Below are 19,298 nucleotides of genomic sequence, written 5' to 3'. Positions count from 1 at the left end.
CATATCTACAACTATCTGATCTTTGACAAACCTGAGAAAAACAAGAAATAGGGAAAGGATTCCCTATTTAATAAATGGTGCTGGGAAAACTGGCTAGCCATATGTAGAAGGCTGAAACTGGATCCCTTCCTTACACCTTATACAAAAATTAATTCAAGATGGATTAAAGACTTAAATGTTAGACCTAAAACCATAAAAACCCTAGAAGAAAACCTAGGCATTACCATTCAGGACATAGGCATGGGTAAGGACTTCATGTCTAAAACACCAAAAGCAATGGCAACAAAAGCCAAAACTGACAAATGGGATCTAGTTAAACTAGAGAGCTTCTGCACAGCAAAAGAAACTACCATCAGAGTGAACAGGCAACCTACAGAATGGGAGAAAATTTTTGCAACCCACTCATCTGACAAAGGGCTAATATCCAGAATCTACAATGAACTCAAACAAATTTACAAGAAAAAAACAACCCCATCAAAAAGTGGGCAAAGGATATGAACAGACACTTCTCAAAAGAAGACATTTATGCAGCCAAAAGACACATGAAGAAATGCTCACCATCACTGGCCATCAGAGAAATGCAAATCAAAACCACTATGAGATACCATCTCACACCAGTTAGAATGCCAATCATTAAAAATCAGGAAACAACAGCTGCTGGAGAGGATGTGCAGAAATAGGAACACTTTTACACTGTTGGTGGGACTGTAAACTAGTTCAACCATTGTGGAAGTCAGTGTGGCGATTCCTCAGGGATCTAGAACTAGATATACCATTTGATCCAGCCATCCCATTACTGGGTATATACCCAATGGACTATAAATCATGCTGCTATAAAGACACATGCACACGTATGTTTATTGCAGCACTATTCACAATAGCAAAGACTTGGAACCAACCCAAATGTCCAACAATGATAGACTGGATTAAGAAAATGTGGCACATATACACCATGGAATACTATGCAGCCATAAGAAATGATGAGTTCACGTCCTTTGTAGGGACATGGATGAAATTGGAAATCATCATTCTAAGTAAACTATCACAAGGACAAAAAACCAAACACCGCATGTTCTCACTCATAGATGGGAATTGAACAATGAGAACACATGGACACAGGAAGGGGAACATCACCCTCTGGGGACTGTTGTGGGGTTGGGGGAGGGGGGAGTGATAGCATTAGGGGATATACCTAATGCTAAATGATGAGTTAATGGGTGCAGCACACCAGCATGGCACATGTATACATATGTAACCTGCACATTGTGCACATGTATGCTAAAACTTAAAGTATAATAATAACAATAAAAAAAGTAAAAAAAAAAAAAAAAAAAAGGAAAGACTATGGCACAGTATGCTGTTGTTGAAAAGAATGACATAGAGTTATTTGAGCTGGAGGAATTTCCAGAAGGTTTTATTCACTTATTGAATGAAAAACTGAGATGTGTAAAAGTGTGTAATATAATTCTGTTCTTGTAAAACATCAACAATATGTGTAGGTGTGTATGTAAATAAATGTATATGTATAGGTATGTATGTAAACAAATAGTAGTAGTAGCTCATATGTATATAGCGATAATTATGTGTTAGGCACTGTTCATATTTTACATATATGATTGATTCATTTAATCCTCACCAAGTCTATAAAGTGCAAAAATCCTCAACAAAATACTGGCAAGCTGAATCCAGAAGCACATAAAAAAGTTTATTCACCATAATCAAGTAGACTTCACCCCAGGGATGCAAAGTTGGTACAACATACACAAATCAATAAATATGATTCATCACATACACAGAACTAAAAACAAAAACCATATGATTGTCTCTCAGTAGATGCAGAAAAGGTTTTTGATAAAATTCAACATCGTTTCACATTAAAAACTCTCAATAGACTGGGTATTGCAGGAACATACCTCAAAACATTAAGAGCCACCTATGACAAACCCACAGCCAACATCTTACCAAATGGGCAAAAGCTGGAAGCATTTCCCTTGAAAACCAGCACAAGACAAGGATGCCCTCTCTCACCACTCATATTCAACATAGTATTGGAAGTCCTGGACAGAGCAATCAGGCAAAAGAAAGAAACAGAGGGCATCAAATAGGAAGACAGGAAGTCAAACTATCACTGTTTGCAGATGACACTATTCTATATCTAGAAAACACCATAGTCCAAGCCCAAAAGCTTCTTAAGCTGATCAACAACTTCAGCAAAGTCTCAGGATACAAAATCAATGTCTAAAAATCACTAGCATTCCTATACAATAGCAACAGCCAAGCTGAGAGCCAAATCAGAAAGGCAATCTCAAAAGGATAAAATACCTAGGATTACAGCTAACCAGGGAGGTGAAAGATCTCTGCAAGTAGAACTACAAAACACTGCTCAAAGAAATCAGAGACGATAGAAACAAATGGAAAAACATTTCATGCTCATGGGTAGAAAGAATCAGTATTATTAAACTGGCCATACTGCTCAAAGCAATCTGTAGATCCAATGCTACTCCTATCAATCTAGCAAGGACATTCTTCAAAGAACTAGAAAAAACTATTTTAAAATTCATATGGAGCCCAAAAAGAGCCCAAATAGCCAAGATAATCCTAAGCAAAAAGAGCAAAGCTGGAGGCATGATGTTACCTGATATCAAACTATCTTACAAGGCTACAGTAACCAAAACAGCATGGTCCTGCTACAAGAACAGACACATAGACCAATGGAACTGAGTAGAGAGCCCAGAAATAGGTCTACACATTTACAACCATCTGATCTTCCACAAAGTTGACAAAAATGATTAATGGGGACACAACCTCTTATTCAATAAATGATGCTGGGATAACTGGCTACCCATATGCAGAAACTTGAATCTATAAATTATATCCTATTATTACTATTCCCAATACAGAGAAGTTAAGTGAATTGTTCAAGGTTAAACAGCTAGTAAATTTTGAAGCTGATTTTCATCTGAAAATAGGTAAAACCATATATAAGTAATCTGGTTGCCATATACGTTGTATGGTGCTTGTATACAATTATATTACTGTGGAGCCAGCAACGGAAAGAGGCTCTGCCCTGATGAAGAACTTCATAACTGTTTTGCTGAGAACCACTGCATTTTCTCTACTAGTGACATGCCAGGTGCCATGTGCTTTCTGTTCTTGGCTGTTGGTTACTTTTACACTCACTGCAGCTACCAACATCATGTAAGGGGGGAACATCTTAACTGTTGAAATTTGTTTCCAGACAATAGCTAATTCCTGTTAGACTTAATTTCTTACTCATCAAATGTAAATCTGTCATACTTTATATCCTTTTTTACCTCCAGCTGACAGGTGATGTGAAGAGAAAAATGTCTCATTTCTCCAAACTAACACACTACCTTCTTGAAAATAAAAATGGATATGCCCTTATCACATTATCACCAGTTGAGTTGCTTAGACTAGCTTTTAGACTCAGACAGCTCTTTTTCACTGATGGCTTTCTTGGTACCTGGATTACACTGGAACTGAAATGTTGTACCCTTACACACAAAATGTATATTTCTTTTTCTCTCTTTAAAAGTTAGTGTTTTCCTTTTCTTCTCCTGTTTATCAGTGGTCTTGCTTAGTTTCTGTGTTATCTTGTAGAAATAAAAGTAAGCTAATAAAAGACAAATGGATACATAATAGAATGAATGGTCCAAAACCAAAACGTAAAGTAGGAGAATCAAAAGCTGCGGAAGGTGGTTCATTTCAGCATTGATAGTAATGGTTCACATAATTATGTATGCACCATGGCAAATAGCAGGACTTGGGTCTGCTACATAGATTGTGCAAATGAATGTGTCTGTGTAAGTGAACATATTCATTTTTAGGGACACAGAAAATAATATATAGTCATGAAATAAAAAATATAAAATAGTATATGAACAAGTGATACAAAATCACCTATACTATTACTTAGAAATGCTAGAGCTGTCCAAATAAAATGTTCAATTCACAAATTTCATTTGTGAAATATTTTTCAGTTGAAAGTAAATTAAGGGCCTAGCGTGGTGGCTCGTGCCTGTAATCCAGCACTTTGAGAGGCTAAGGCAGGTGGATCACTTGAGGACAGGAGTTTGAGACCAGCCTGGCCAATGTGGTGAAACCCCATCTCTACTAAAAATACAAAAATTAGCCAGGTGTGGTGGTGCATGCCTGTAGTCCCAGCTACTTCGGAGGTTGAGGCATGAGAGTCACTTGAACCTGGGAAGCAGAGGTTGCAGTGAGCTGAGATTGCACCACTGCACTCCAGCCTGGGTGACAGAGCAAGACTCTGTCTCAAAAAAAAAAAAAAAAGCAAAGATATTGAACTATTGATATTAGTACAGGTAATTTAAGGCACAGAGAGTGATTTATGAAATCATTTGTTAAGTTTATTAAGCCACCAATGGAGTTTATTTACACATTTCTTGATTACCATTGATATAAAAATTTTTAAAAGCTTTAAAATTAATGCATTGTAGAATCATCCTCCGTAAAATTATTTAACTAGTATTAATATTTATGTACTGTTCCCTGTGAGAAGAATGATAGCATCTGTCTTATTTACTTGTGTATCTCCAGTAACTAGCACTATGCTTTGTACAGGTAGGCATGAAAAAGTATGTGTTGCATAAATAAATAAATGCAATAATTTAGTTGAGATATTTGATTGGTATTTGTAGAGGTGGTACAAATGATTAGAAAGATATGCCAGAATAAATTTGTATTACAAAGGTTCATATTCATTTTATTCTTTCATTTTTCAAATAAAGATAGCTCTATAAAATGTGATTATTTAGATTTCTAAATATAATATACCATTTAGGAAACCCAAATAATATAATATACATTTTTTTGGTGTGACTGTAGAGATCAATTGAAGCCTGATTTTTCTAAGACACATTTTCTGGATCTGTATTACGTGCACTTCTTTTCACTGGGAACATTCAAAATATGGACTGCTGAGCATATTTTTAAAATATTAAGAAGTTATCTTTACATTTAAAACTAAGACGAATAAATATTTTTCTGTAATCAACATGAAACAACGTGTGATCAACATTAAGGGTATTGTTTTTCCCTTTCTTTCACAGTCTTCTCTAGTGCTCCAGGACATAACTGTCTTTTAACCCATCAGCTATTTTTCAGGCACTTATTGTAACTACATCTTTTGCAGACTCACTGGTGATCATCTACACTTAAGTTGTGGCATATAACCATGGTACTAGTTTTTTGTTTGACAGGTCGGAATCTCTGAGTGTGGGCAAGTCTTCTGAGAGTCCTCTACAAAGCCTCGACTGTGGCTTTCCACCACTCCCCTGTCATTTTTTTCTCTTTTCATCAAAGCAGTGACAGCAGATTCTACCAAAGCAGCAATTGTTGCCCTTCTTGTCACCTGTCCGAATTCTCAGACTTAATTCTGGGCCATTTTAACTAACTAACATTTCTCAGTAGATCCTGAGGAGAAATATGTTACTGATTAATCTTCAGAAGAGAAGACAGCAGGATACCTTACCTATCACCGTGTCGTCCTGATTGCTGAACATGTGTGGGTAGCAACTCTTCCTAAGTGAAACAATTTTTTTTCATTTTATAAAATTTAGTAATATGAACCCAAGTGAGTATAGTGACAATAAATCTTACCAGTAGAGGTCAATGATTTTTTTCTAGCTTGAAGATCTTTCAGTATAAAACGATCTTTCAGTATACACTATATGAGGGCAGTATTTTTCCCACGGACTAAAAGAGAAGTAATCAATGTTATTTAATAATACTTTTTCATTTACTGATCTCTTTGAAATTTACTAGGTATTAGGCATTGATGCTTTGTCTAAAATACAAAGATTAATGAACAATATCTCATCAAAATAGGCTCACAGATTAGGGGACATGTAAATAAATGAATCTTTAGACTATTATTAGTGTTCTGATAAAAAGAAAAATAGAATGCTATGGGAGCATATAGGAGAGTCATCTACATGATGCTGTGCTGACAAGTGTGAAATAATAAAGATATGTTCCAAGTGGAGTTTTATCTCTGTGCATATCCTACTGTCTGATCTAAAATATTTAGTTAATCTAAAGTCCCTATTAAACTTGAGAGTCAACACTGAATGAACTGCAGTGAGTGTTTTTTAAAAGGACCTTGTATATAACTTAAGGTAGAAGACTTATTAATACAAGCTTTATCCACTGACATACTTTCACTTCAGTAATGTCAAAAGCATGTGAATACGTAAATACAATTACATTTCTGTAAAAAAGATTGATTTAAGCCTATGTCTTAAAATATGAAATAAATGTATCTGCTTTTAGGAAAAGCAAAGTGTAAGTAATGGATGTCATCAAGATAGCTGATTGGAGGTGTCCAGTGCTCATCTTTCTTCACTAAGAAATGACAAAAACAACAAATACATAACTACATTTCAAGTAAAGTATCTAAGAGAGAACACTGGAATTCAGCAAGAAGTAACACAGCCTTCTGAAGTACAAAAACTCGATATGGCAGCATAGAGAGAGAAGTAAAGCACCAAGCCAAGATTGTAGAGAAATGGTAAAGGGGAGATCTCTAGCAGTGTCCATTACCACTACCAATACCTGCAATCATAGCTACAGAAAAAGATCACACTCCATGCAGGCCCTGAGCCATATAAGAAGATCCCTGGAGTCCAAGTGGCTGCATTACTCCAAAGAAGAAACCCATGCAGGGTCCTGCTTACTCTCCAAGATGCAAACTACTATGGCATGACTTTATTTTGAGAACAGAGACACTGTTATGGGGCATTGTAACCTGGGATCCCCTGCATCTCCACATTCCCAAGACCCTCCTTTTATTTCACTATGCCCATGCCAAAGGCCAGAACACCATGACCCCAGCTAGATCAGTGGTACAAATGTGACCACAGCACTTAAGGCCACACAGTGCCCTGCATCCCCAAAAAGAAGTGGTCCAGTACAGCTGGGAGGTCATTTCCAAGACCCAAGTAACTGAGAAGACATCCCCTAGAACCCAAGAACTGACCACCCAGCACCCACAACAGCCTCCACAACCAGATAAGCTGTTGTATGTGCCCCCTAGAGTCCAAGGACTGTTCTGCCCAGCATCTGCCACCATTGGTCGCCCCAATCCCTTGACCAGGGAGTCTTCCAGAGCCAAAGAACTGGCTTGCTCAGCAGTCCTATTCCTTAGCAAAGCCACACTGCTGCCTCAACAAACACCCACAATCTAGATCACTGAAGCATTTACAGTTACCACTGATGTTGATTACAGCTGAAGAAATCATGAAGAGACAAAAAAAAAAGAATGAATAAAACCTTTGGGACTTAGGGATCACCATATTCGCATTATAAGAGTTCCAAGGAGAAGAGAGTACAAATAAAAAAAAAATTTAAGAAAGTATAGTAAACCTATTTAATAACATAATAGCTGAAAATTTCCTAAGTCTTGAGAGAGTTAAAAACATCCAGATCCAAGAAGCTAATAAATTCTGCAATAGATTGAACCCCAAAATGTCCTCTCTGAGGCACACTGTAGTCAAATTGTCAAGTAAAAGACAAAAGAGAGAATTCTAGAAATAGCAACAGAAAAGCATCAAATCACGTATGAAGGAACCCTCATTAGACTGACAGCAGATTTCTCAGCAGAAACCATACATACCAGGAGACAATGGATAATATGTTCAAAGTGCTGAAAGAAAAATACTGACAGCCAAGAATAGTGTACCCAGCAATGCTATCCTTCAGAAACTAAGGAGAAATAGTCTTTTCCAGACAAGAAAAAACAGGGAATTTGTCACCACTAGGCCAGCCTTACAAGAAATACTTAAGAAACTCTTAGATCTGGAAGCAAAAGGACAATAACTACCATCATGAAAACACATGAGAATATAAAATTCACTGGTAGAACAGACATACAACTGAGAAAGAAAAGAATCAAATCGTGTCACTACAGAAAGTCACAAAACTGCAAAGATAAGCAATAAGAAAAAAAGCTATGCAAAACAAACTAAAAATAATTAATGAAATTATACAAGTCTTAACCTATCAATAAGAACCTTACAAGTAAACATTAAATTCCCCGTGCATCAACAAATTGGTAAACCTAGTTGAAATGAGTAAGTTCCTGGACACATACAATTTTACCATCACTGAACAGGAAGAAACAGAAAACCTGAAGAGACCAAGAACATGTAATGAGATTGAATCATTAATAAAAAGTCTTCCAAAAAAGAAAAGCCCAGGACCAAATGGCTTTATTGCTGAATCCTACCAAAATTTTAAAGGAGAACTACTACCAATATTTCTCAAACTATTTCAAAAAATCAAACAGTTGAGAATGCTTCCAAACTGATTCTACAAGGCCAGCATTACCCTGATACCAAAACTAGACAAGGACATAAAATAAAAAGAAAACTAAAGGCCAATATCCTCAATGAACAGAGATGCAAACATCCTCAACAAAATACTAGCAAGCCAAATCCAACAGCACTTCAAAAATGGTATACACCATGATCAAATTGGATATATCCCAAAGATGCAAGATTGGTTCAACACATGCAAATCAATAAATGTGATATATCACATAAATAGAAGGAAGGAGAAAAATAAATCTTCTCAACAGATGCAGAAAAAACATTTGCTAAAATTTAATATCTTTTTATTATAAAAACTCTTAACAAAGTAGGTATTGAAAGAAACATACTTCAAAACAATGAAGATCATATATGATTCCATCAATAAACTCTTATAACTGAGAAAAAATCAGTAACATTGCAGGGTACAAGATCAACATTCAAAAATCAGTAACATTTCTAGAAACCACTAACAAGCTAGTTAAAAAAAACAAGAAAGCAATTTCATTTATAATAGCTACAAAAATATCTAGCAATGAATTTAATCAAGGACCAAAAAAATCTCTGATAAAAACTATGAAACACTGATGAAAGAAATTGATGAAGACCCCAAAATGGAAAAACATCTTGTGTTTATGGATTGTTAAAATGATCATGTCCCCCAAGAGACCTGCAGATTCAATGTGATCCCTCTTAAAATACCAATAACATGATTCACAGAAATAAAAAAATATTCTAAAATTCATATGGAAACCACAAAAGACTTCAAATGGCTAATGGGATCCTGAGCAAAAGAACAAAGCTGGAGGCATCATACCACCTGACTTTAAAATATTCTAAAAAGCTATAGTAACCAAAACAACATAGCACCAACATAATAAAAGATACATAGACCAATGGAACAGAATAGGGAACACAGAAATAAATCCACAGATTTACAGCCAACAGACTGATAAATACTCCAAGAACATGCACTGGGGATGGGACAGTCTTAATAAATGTTGCTGGAAAAACGGGATATCCACATGAAGAAGAATGAAACTAGACCCCATCTCTCCCTATATATAAAAATTAACTCGAAATGGGTTGAAGACTTACATGTAAGACCCAAAACTGTGAAATGACTAGAAGAAAACATAGACCAATATAACAGACTAGAGAACACAGAAATAAATCCACAGATTTACAGCCAATGGACAGATAAATACTCCAAGAACATGCACTGGGGAAGGGACAGTCTTAATAAATGTTGCTGGAAAAACGGGATATTCACATGAAGAAGAATGAAACTACACCCCATCTCTCCCTATATATAAAAATTAACTCAAAATGCATTGAAGACTTACATGTAAGACCCAAAACTGTGACATGACTAGAAGAAAACATAAAGTAAATGCTGCAGGACATTGGCCTGGGCAAAAACTTTATAAATTTTATAAATAAGATCTTAAAAGTACAGGTAACAAAAGCAAAAACAGAGAAATGGGATTACACAAACTAAAAAACATCTGCACAGCAAAGGTAACAATCACCGGAGTGAAGAGGAAATCTGCAGAATGGGAGAAAATATTTGCAGACAATTCATCTGACAGGGGCTTAATATTTACCATATAGAAGAAACCTAAACAACTCAAAAGAAAAAAATCTGATTTCAAAATGGGCACTGATATAAATAAAATTTCTGAAAAAATACCTATAAATGGCCAAGAAGTATATGAAAAAAATGCTCAACATCATTAATCAGGAAAATGCAAATGAAAACCAAAATGACATATCATTTCATCCTAGTTAGAATGGCTATTATACAAAAAACAAAAATAACAGATTCTAAGTAGGATGGAGAGAAAGGGAAACTCTTATACATTGCAGGTAGAAATGTAAATTAGTATGCCCATTATGGAAAACAGTATGAACTTTCTTCAAGAAACTAAAAGTAGAACTACCATATGATCCAGCAATCCCACTACTGGGTATGCATCCAAAGAAAGGAAATCAGTATGTCAAACAGATATCTGCACTCCCATGTTAATTGCAACACTATTCACAACAGCAAAGATGGAATCAACCTCAGTTTCCATCAAAAGATGAATGGATAAATAAAATTCATTAAAAAGTGGATTATATCACTGTTGGCAACATGGATAAACCTTGAAGGCTTTCTGTTAAGTAAAATAAGGCAGAGAAAGACAAATGCCATGTTTTCACTTAATATTTCTATGGTAAACAAGTTGTTCATGGAAGTAGAGATTCGAATAGTTGTTACTATAGCCTGGGAAGGGTAGCGAGGAGAGTGGATAAGGAGATGTTGGTTAACAAATAAAAAAATACAGCTAGATAGGATTCTAGTGTTCTATATCACTATAGAATGATGATAGTTAACAATTACTTATTATATAGTTTTAAATAGCTAAAGAGATGGTTTTGAATCTTCACAACAAAAAGAAATGATAATGGTTTGAGGTTATGGGTATGTTAATTACCTTGATTTGATCATTACACATTGTATATGTGTATGGATATACCTATCACATTGTACTCCATAAACATGTACAATTATATCGTGTATAAAAAAAGCATGTTATATTTTAAGTTAAAATGTTCATGACATTCTGGAACTTGCCTTGCACATAAACTATACAATAATCCATTAGTTAATATTTTGCTTTTGTGGCTAATATCAAACAGAAACTAAATTCTTATGATAAATTATAATCTACTTCTCACATGAAAGACTGTAAGGTAAATCCAATCAATATATTTAAACACTAGATGCCCTGTCATGTTCAATTATGATATAGGCTGTTAACACAAGAATCAGAATTATGTTCTGATATGTTAAATGGTTTAATCTGAATTTTAATGATTCACCCCCAACCTCTAGCAATAGACATTTATTTGTAGATGTTCGACAAATATGAAAGATAAGCTAATTTCTCCAGTTATAATGAAACACTGACTCATGTATATAATATGTAGAATTACATTAAAGACCAAGTATTGAGCTTTAGGGGGATATGTGAGATAGTAAGATAGTAAATTAAAACCTAAGGAAAGGATAGTCAGAAAGAAAGAGGAGAAGCAAGAGGACATAGTATCATCTTAGTTAGAAAAAGTATATTTTTTAAAAAAACTTTTATTTTAGGTTCAGGGGCAGATGTTCAGGGTTTGTTATATAGGTACTCACATCATGTGGGTTTGTTGTACAGATTATTTTGTCGCTGAGATACTAAGCCTAGTACTCAATAGTTCTTTTTTCAGTTCCTCTCCCTCCTCCCACTCTCCACCTTCAAGCAGGCCCCATTGTGTGTTCTTACTCTTGTTGTGTCCATGTGTGCAATCATTTAGCTCCCATTTATAAGTGAGAACATATGATATTTGGTTTTCTTTTTTTAAAATCTTTCAGAAACACCTTTTATGTTCCTTTCCAATAACTACTCCCCTCAAAAGCTACCTTACTGTTTTACGTGTCATGATTTATTCCATATCATTTCTTTTTTAAAAAATATAGGTGCCATGTCCTATATCCTGGGAGGCATGCAGAATATTTTTCTTAAATTTTCTCCAGGGTCTTGCAGTAGCTTATCTTCAGAGATATGCTTGTTTTTTTATTTCCATAGGTTATTGGGGGAACAGGTGGTGTTTGGTTACATGAGTAAGTTCTTTAGTGGTGATTTGTGAAATTTTGGTGCACCCATCACCTGAGCAGTACACACTTTACCCTATTCGTAGTCTTTTATCCCTCACCCCCTTCCCACCCTTTCCCCTGAGTCCCCAAAGTCCATCGTGTCATTCTTATGCCTTTGCATCCTCATAGCTTAGCTCCCACTTATGAGTGAGAATGTAGGATGTTTGCTTTTCCATTCCTGAGTTACTTCACTTAGAATAATAGTCTCCAACCTCATTCAGGTCACTGTAAATGCAGTTAATTCATTCCTTTTTATGGCTGAGTAGTATTCTATCATATATATATATATATATATAATATTACATATATATCTCTCCCACACAGTTTCTTTATCCACTCATTGATTGATGGGCATTTGGGTTGGCTCCACATTATTGCAATTGCAAATTGTGCTGCTATAAACATGCATGTATGAGTATTTTTTTCGTGTAATGACTCCCTTTCCTATGGGTAGATACCCAGTAGTGGGATTGCTGGATCAAATGGTGGTTCTACTTTTAGTTCTTTAAGGAATCTCCACACTGTACTCCATAGTGGTTGTAATAGTTTATATTCCCACCAGCAGTGTAGAAGTGTGCCCTGTCCACTGCATCCACGCCAACATCTACTATTTGCTGATTTTTTTATTATGGCCATTCTTGCTGGAGTAAGGTGGTATCATATCGTGGTTTGATTTGCATTTCCCTGATTATTAGTGATGTTGAACATTTTTTCATATGTTTGTTGGTCATTTGTATATCTTCTTTTGAGAATTGTTTATTCATGTCCTTAGCCCATTTTTTGATGGAATTTTTTTTTCTTGCTGATTTGTTTGAGTTCGTTGTAGATTCTGGATGTTAGCCCTCTGTCAGATGTATAGATTGTGAAGACTTTTTCCCACTCTGTGGGTTGTCTGTTAACTCTGCTGACTATTCCTTTTGCCGTGCAAAAGCTCTTTAGTTTAATTAAGTCCCAGGATTTTATCTTTGTTGTTATTGCATTTGCTTTTGGGTTCTTGGTCATAAAATCTTTGCCTAAGCCATTGTCTAGAAGGGGTTTTCCAGTGTTATCTTCTAGGATTTTTATAGTTTCAAGTCTTAGATTTAAGTCCTTAATCCATCTTGAATGATTTTTATATAAGGTGAGAGATGAGGATCCAGTTGCATTCTCCTACATGTGGCTAGCCAGTTATCCCAGCATCATTTTTTGAAAAGGGTGTCCTTTCTCCACTTTATGTTTTTGTTTGCTTTGTCAAAGATCAGTTGGCTGTAAGCATTTGAGTTTATTTGTGTTCTCTGTTCTGTTCCATTGGTCTATGTGCCTATTTTTATACCAGTACCACGCTGTTTTGGTGACTACAGCCTTACAATATAGTTTAAAATCAGGTAATGTGATGCCTCCAGATTTGTACTTTTTGCTTAGTCTTCCTTTGGCTATGCGGGCCCTTTGTTGGTTCCATATGAATTTTAGAATTGTTTTTTTCTAATTCTGTGAAGAATGATGGTGGTATTCTGATGGAGACTGCATTGAATTTGTAGATTGCTTTTATCAATATGGTCATTTTCACAATATTGATTCTACTCATCCATGAGCAAGGGATGTGTTTTCATTTGTTTGAAAGAAATCTACAATTTCTTTCAGCAGTGTTTCGTAGTTTTCCTTTAGAGGTTTTTAGACTCCTTGGTTAGGTACATTCCTAAGTATTTTATGTTTTTTGCAGCTATTGTAAAAGGGGTTGAGTTCTTGATTGATTTTCAGCTTGGTCAGTCTTGGTGTATAGAAGAGCTATTGATTTGTGTACACTAATTTTGTATCTGGAAACTTTGCTAAATTCTTTTATCAGTTCTAGGAGCTTTCTGGAGCAGTCTTTAGGGTTTTCTAGGTAAATGATCAAATCATCAGCAAACAGCAACAGTTTGACTTCCTCTTTACTAATTTGGATGCCCTTTCTTTATTCCTTTCTCTTGTCTGATTGCTCTGGCTAGGACTTCCAGTACTGTGTTGAAGAGGAGTGGTGAGAGTAAACATCCTTGTCTTCTTCCAGTTCTCAGAGGGAATGCTTTCATTTTTTCCTCTTTCAGTATATGTTGACTGTGGGTTTGTCATAGATGGCTTTTATTATATTGACGTATGTCCCTTGTATGTCAATTTTGCTGAGAGTTTTAATCATAAAGGGATGCTGGATTTTTGTCAAATGCTTTTTTCTGCATTTATGGAGATAATCATGTGATTTTTGTTTTTAATGCTGTTTATGTGGTATATCATATTTATTGACTTGTGTATGTTAAATCATCCTTTCATCCCTGTATAAAACCCTCTTGTTCGTGATGAATTATCTTTTTGATATGTTGTTGGATTCGTTAGACAGTATTTTGTCAAGGATTTTAGCATCTACGTTCATCAGGGATATTGGTCTGTAATTTTCTTTTTTGGTTATGTCCTTTACTGGTTTTGGTATTAGGGTGATACTGGCTTCATAGAATGATTTAGGGAGGGGTTCCATCTTTCTCTATCTTGTGGAATAGTGTCAATAGGATTGGTACCAATTTATCTTTGAATGTCTGGTAGAATTTAGCTGTGAATCCATCTGGTCCTGGACATTTTTTTTTTATTGTTGTTAATTCTTGAATTACCATTTCAATCTCTCTGCTTGTTTTTCATCTGTTCAGGGTATCTAATTCTTCCTGATTTAAGCTAAGAAGGTTGTATCTTTCCAAGAATTTATTCATCTATTCTTGGTTTTCTAGTTTATGCACATAAAGTTGTTCATTGTAGCCTTGTATGATCTTTTGCATTTCTGTGGTGTCAGTTGTAATATCTCCTGTTTCATTTCTTATTGACCTTATTTAGATTTTCTCTCTTCTTTTCTTGGTTAGTCTTGCTAACAATCTATCAATTTTAGTTACCTTTCCAAAGAACCAGCTTCTTGTTTCATTTAACTTTTGTATTTTTTTTTTTTTTGCTTCAATTTCATTTAGTTCTGCTCTGATCTTGGTTATTTCCATTCTTCTGCTGGGTATGGGTTTGGTTTGTTCTTGTTTCTCTATTTTCTTGAGGTGTGACCTTAGATTGTCTGTGCTCTTTCAGACTTTTTGATGTAGGCATTTAGGGCTATGAACTTTCCTTTTAGCACTGCCTTGACTGTGTCCCAGAGGTTTTGATAGGTTTTCTCACTACTTTCATTTGGTTTGAAGAATTTTTTAATTTTAATTTTGATATATTTTTAACTCAATGATCATTAAGGAGTAGGTTATTTAATTTCCATGTATTTGCATGGTTTTGGAGGTTCCTTTTGGAGTTTATTTTCAGTTTTATTCCACTGTAGTCTGAGAGAGTGCTTGATATAATTTCAGTTTTCTTAAAATTATTGAGAATTGTTTTGTGGTCTATCATGTGGTCTATCTTGGAGAAAGTTCCATGTGCTGTTGAATAGAATGTGTATTTATGGTTGTTGGATGGAATGCTCTGCATATAGCTGTTAAGTCCCTTTGTTCCAGGGTATAGTTTAAATACATTGTTTCTTTGTTGACTTTCTGTCTTGATGACCTGTCTAGTGCTGTCAGTGGAGTATTGAAGTATTATTGTGCTGCTATCTCATTGCTTAGGTCTATTAGTAATTGCTTTGTAAAATTGGGAGCTCCAGTGTTAGGTGCATATATGTTTAGGATTGTGATATTTTCCTGTTGGACAAGACCTTTTACCATCATAGACTGTCCCTCTTTGTCTCTTTTAACCATTGTTGTTTTAAAATTTGTTTTGTCTGATATAAGAATAGCTATCCTGGCTTGCTTTTCATGTCCATGAAATGTGTTTTTCCACCCCTTTACTTTAAGATTATGTGAGTCTTTATGTGTTAGGTGAGTCTCCCGAAGGTAGCAGACAGTTGGTTGATGAGTTCTTATCCATTCTGAAGTTCTGTATCTTTTAAGAGGAGTCTTTAGGCCATTTACATTCAATGTTAGTATTGAGATTGAGGTACCATTCCATTCTTCATGCTATTTGTTGCCTGTGTACCTTGTTTTTTTTTTTTTTTTTTTCTTTTTTGCTTTTTAACTGTATTTTTGTTTTATAGGTCCTGTGTGATTTATGCTTTAAAGAGGTCCTTTTTTGATGTGTTTCCAGGATTTATTTCAAGATTTAGAGCCCCCTTTAGCAGTTCTTGTAGTGGTGGCTTGGTAATGGCGAATTCTCTTGTCATTTGTCTGAAAAAGACTGTATCTTTTCTTCATGTATGATGCTTAGTTTAGCTGGATACAAATTTCTTGCCTGATAATTGTTTTGTTTGAGGAGGCTGAAGATAGGGCCCCAATTCCTTCTAGCTTATAAGGATTCTGCTGAGAAATCTGCTGTTAATCTGATAGGTTTTCCTTTATAGGTTACCTGATGCTTTTGTCTCACAGCTCTTAAGATGCTTTCCTTTATCTTAACTTTAGATAACCTGATGACAGTGTGGCTAGGTGATAATATTTTTGCGATGAGTTTTCCAGGTGTTCTGTGTGCTTCTTGTATTTGGATTTCTAGGTCTCTAGCATGGCTGGGGAAGTTTTCCTTGATTAGTTCCCCAAATATGTTTTCCAAACTTTTAGATTTCTCTTCTTCCTCAGGAACACCAATTATTCTTAGGTTTGATTGTTTAACATAATCCCAGACTTCTTGGAGGCTTTGTTCATATTTTCTCATTCTTTTTTCTTTGTCTTTGTTGGATTGGTTTAATTCAAAGGCCTTGTCTTTAAGCTCTGAATTTCTTTTACTTGTTCAATTCTATTGGTCTTCCGATTTTCCAGAGCATTTTGCATTTCTGTAAGTGTGTCCAATGTTTCCTGAAGCTTTTATTGTTTTTTTCTTTATGCTGTCTATTTCTTTGAATATTTCTCCCTTCACTTCTTGTATCGTTTTTTTGGGTTTCCTTGCATTGGGCTTCGCCTTTCTCTGGTGCTTCCCTGATTAGCTTAATAACTAACCTCCTGAATTCTTTTTCAGGTAATTCAGGGGTTTCTTCCTGGTTTGGATTCACTGCTGGTGAGCTAGTGTGATTTTTTGGGGGGTGTTATAGAACCTTGTTTTGTCATATTACCAGAGTTGGTTTTCTGGTTCCTTCTCATTTGGGTAGGCTCTGTCAGAGGGGAGGTCTAGGCCTGAAGGCTGTTATTTAGATTCTTTTGTCCCACAGTATGTTCCCTTGATGTAGTACTCTGTCCCTTTTCCTATGGACGTGGCTTCCTGACAGACGAGCTGCAGTGATTGTTGTCTCTCTTCTGGATCTAACCACCCACCAAATTTACCTGCCTCTGGGCTGGTACTGGGGGTTGGTCGTCTGCACAGCAGAGTCCTGTGATGTGAACCATCCTTGGGTCTCTCAGCCATGGATACCAGCACCTGTTTTAGTGGAGGTGGTAGGGGGGTGAAATAGACTCTGTGAGGGTTCTTAGCTTACGTGGTTTAATGTTCTATTTTTGTGCTGGCTGGCCTCCTGCCAGGGGGTGGTGCTTTCCAGAGAGCATCAGCTGTGGTAGTATGGGGAGGAAATAGTGGTGGGTGGGGCCCTAGAACTCCCAAGAGTATATTCCCCTTGTCTTCAGCTACCAGGGTGGGTAGGGAAGGCGCATCAGGTGGGGGCAGGGCTAGGCATGTTTAAACTTAGACTCTACTTGGATGGTCTAGCTGGGGCTGCTGTGGAGGATGGGGGTGAGGTTCCCGGGTCAATGGAATTGTGTACCTAGGAGGATTATGGCTGCCTCTGCTGAGTCATGCAGGTTGTCAGGGAAGTGGGGGGAAAGCTGGCAGTTACAGGCCTCACCTGTCTCCTAAACAATCAGAAAGGCTGGTCTGACCTGCAGCGTGCCCCCTCTAACAGCACTGTGTGTTTCTGGGCCGTGTGTGAGCAGGGTTTGAGAACTTGCCCCAGGATACCCACCTCAGCTGTGAAAGAAAAGGGATTTGATTCTTCCCCTGCCCATGGAATCTGCAATATCGGATTCATGCCCTCTGCCGAGTTCTGGCCAGGAGGCTTCTCGATCAGTTCAAATTGTTACAAAATTCAGCTGGAGATTTCCTTCTCCCTGTGGCCTTTTCCCAGTGCCTCTGGCCTCCCTCCTGAAGGTCTTCTCTGAGATCAGGCAAAAACGGCTTGGTAGGGGACCCAGTGAGCTTCCAGGGGTTTCCTGCTGCCACCTCTACCCCTGTATTATGCTGGGCTCTCTAAATTGACTCAGCTCCAGGTAAGGTCAAAATCTTCCCTTGTAATGTAGGCCTTCAGCTTCCTGGACCATCTCCCTTTCCCACTTCCACAGTTTGGGCATCACAGTATTTGGGGTGTCTGCCGGGTCCTGCAGGAGCAATCCGCTTCCTTCAGGGGGTCTGTGGATCCTCTCAGGTTTCCTGATTTATTCCTTCAGTTGTTGTGGAGCAAAAATTCATGATGCGAGCCTCCACATGCTGCTCTGTCTGTCCAAGTCAGAGCTGCAATCTAGTCCTGCCTCTTGTCTGCCATGATCCCTGTGATATTTGGTTTTCTGTTCCTGTGTTAGTTTCCTAATAATGGTCTCCAGCTCTACCCATGTTGCTGCAAAGGACATGATCTCATTCTTTTGTATGGTTGCATAGTATTCCATGGTGTATTTATTGTACCACATTTATTTTACCCAATCTGCCATTGATGGGTGCTTAGGTTGATTCCATTTTTTTTGTTATTGTGAATAGTGGTGCAATCAACGTATGGATACATGTGTCTTTATAACAGAACAATTTATATTTCTTTGGGTATATATCCAGTAATGGGATTGCTGGGTCAAATGGTATTTCTATTTTTAGGTCTTTGAGGAATTGCCACATGGTCTTTCACAATGGTTGAACTAATTTACACTCCCAGTGTATAAGTGCTCCTTTTTCTCTGCAAACTCACTAGCATCTGTTATTTTTTCACTTTTTATTAATAGCCATTCTGACTGGTGTTACTGGGTCTCTCATGGTGCTTTTGATTTGCATTTCTGTAATGACCAGTGATGTTGAGCTTTTTTTGGTATCACTGTTGGCAACATGTCTGTCTTCTTTTGAAAGGTGTCTGTTCATGCCCTTTGTCCTCTTTTTAATGGGGCTATTTTCTGTCTTTTAATGTTTTTTAGGTTCCTTATAGGTGCTTAATATTAGACCTTTGTCAGATGCATGGTGTGCAAAAATTTTCATCCATTCTGTAGACTCTCTGTTCACTCTGTTGATAGTTTCTTTTGTTGTGCAGAAGCTCTTAAATTTAATTAGGTCCGATTTGTTAATTTTTGCTTTTGTTG

At 36.6% G+C, this 19,298-nt stretch overlaps 1 protein-coding gene across 5 annotated transcripts in view, besides 1 other annotated feature; it reads right to left on the bottom strand.

Moving 5' to 3' along the window:
- HTR1F (5-hydroxytryptamine receptor 1F) overlaps window positions 1-19,298 on the bottom strand; it is a 201,134-nt gene that overhangs the window by 61,478 nt on the left and 120,358 nt on the right. The window lies entirely within an intron of this gene.
- Window positions 17,091-18,290: an enhancer, noted in NCBI's record as "MED14-independent group 3 enhancer chr3:87963222-87964421 (GRCh37/hg19 assembly coordinates)". NCBI's record gives its function as "activates an origin of replication core promoter dependent on BRD2, BRD4, P300/CBP and CDK7 cofactors, and independent of MED14, by STARR-seq in HCT116 cells {active_cell/tissue: HCT116}" and the evidence as "EXISTENCE:reporter gene assay evidence [ECO:0000049][PMID:35650434]".

The sequence above is a fragment of the Homo sapiens genome, chromosome 3, assembly GCF_000001405.40.
Source record: "Homo sapiens chromosome 3, GRCh38.p14 Primary Assembly".
Lineage (NCBI taxonomy): Eukaryota > Metazoa > Chordata > Mammalia > Primates > Hominidae > Homo > Homo sapiens.
This window is presented reverse-complemented; position numbering and strand designations above follow the sequence as displayed.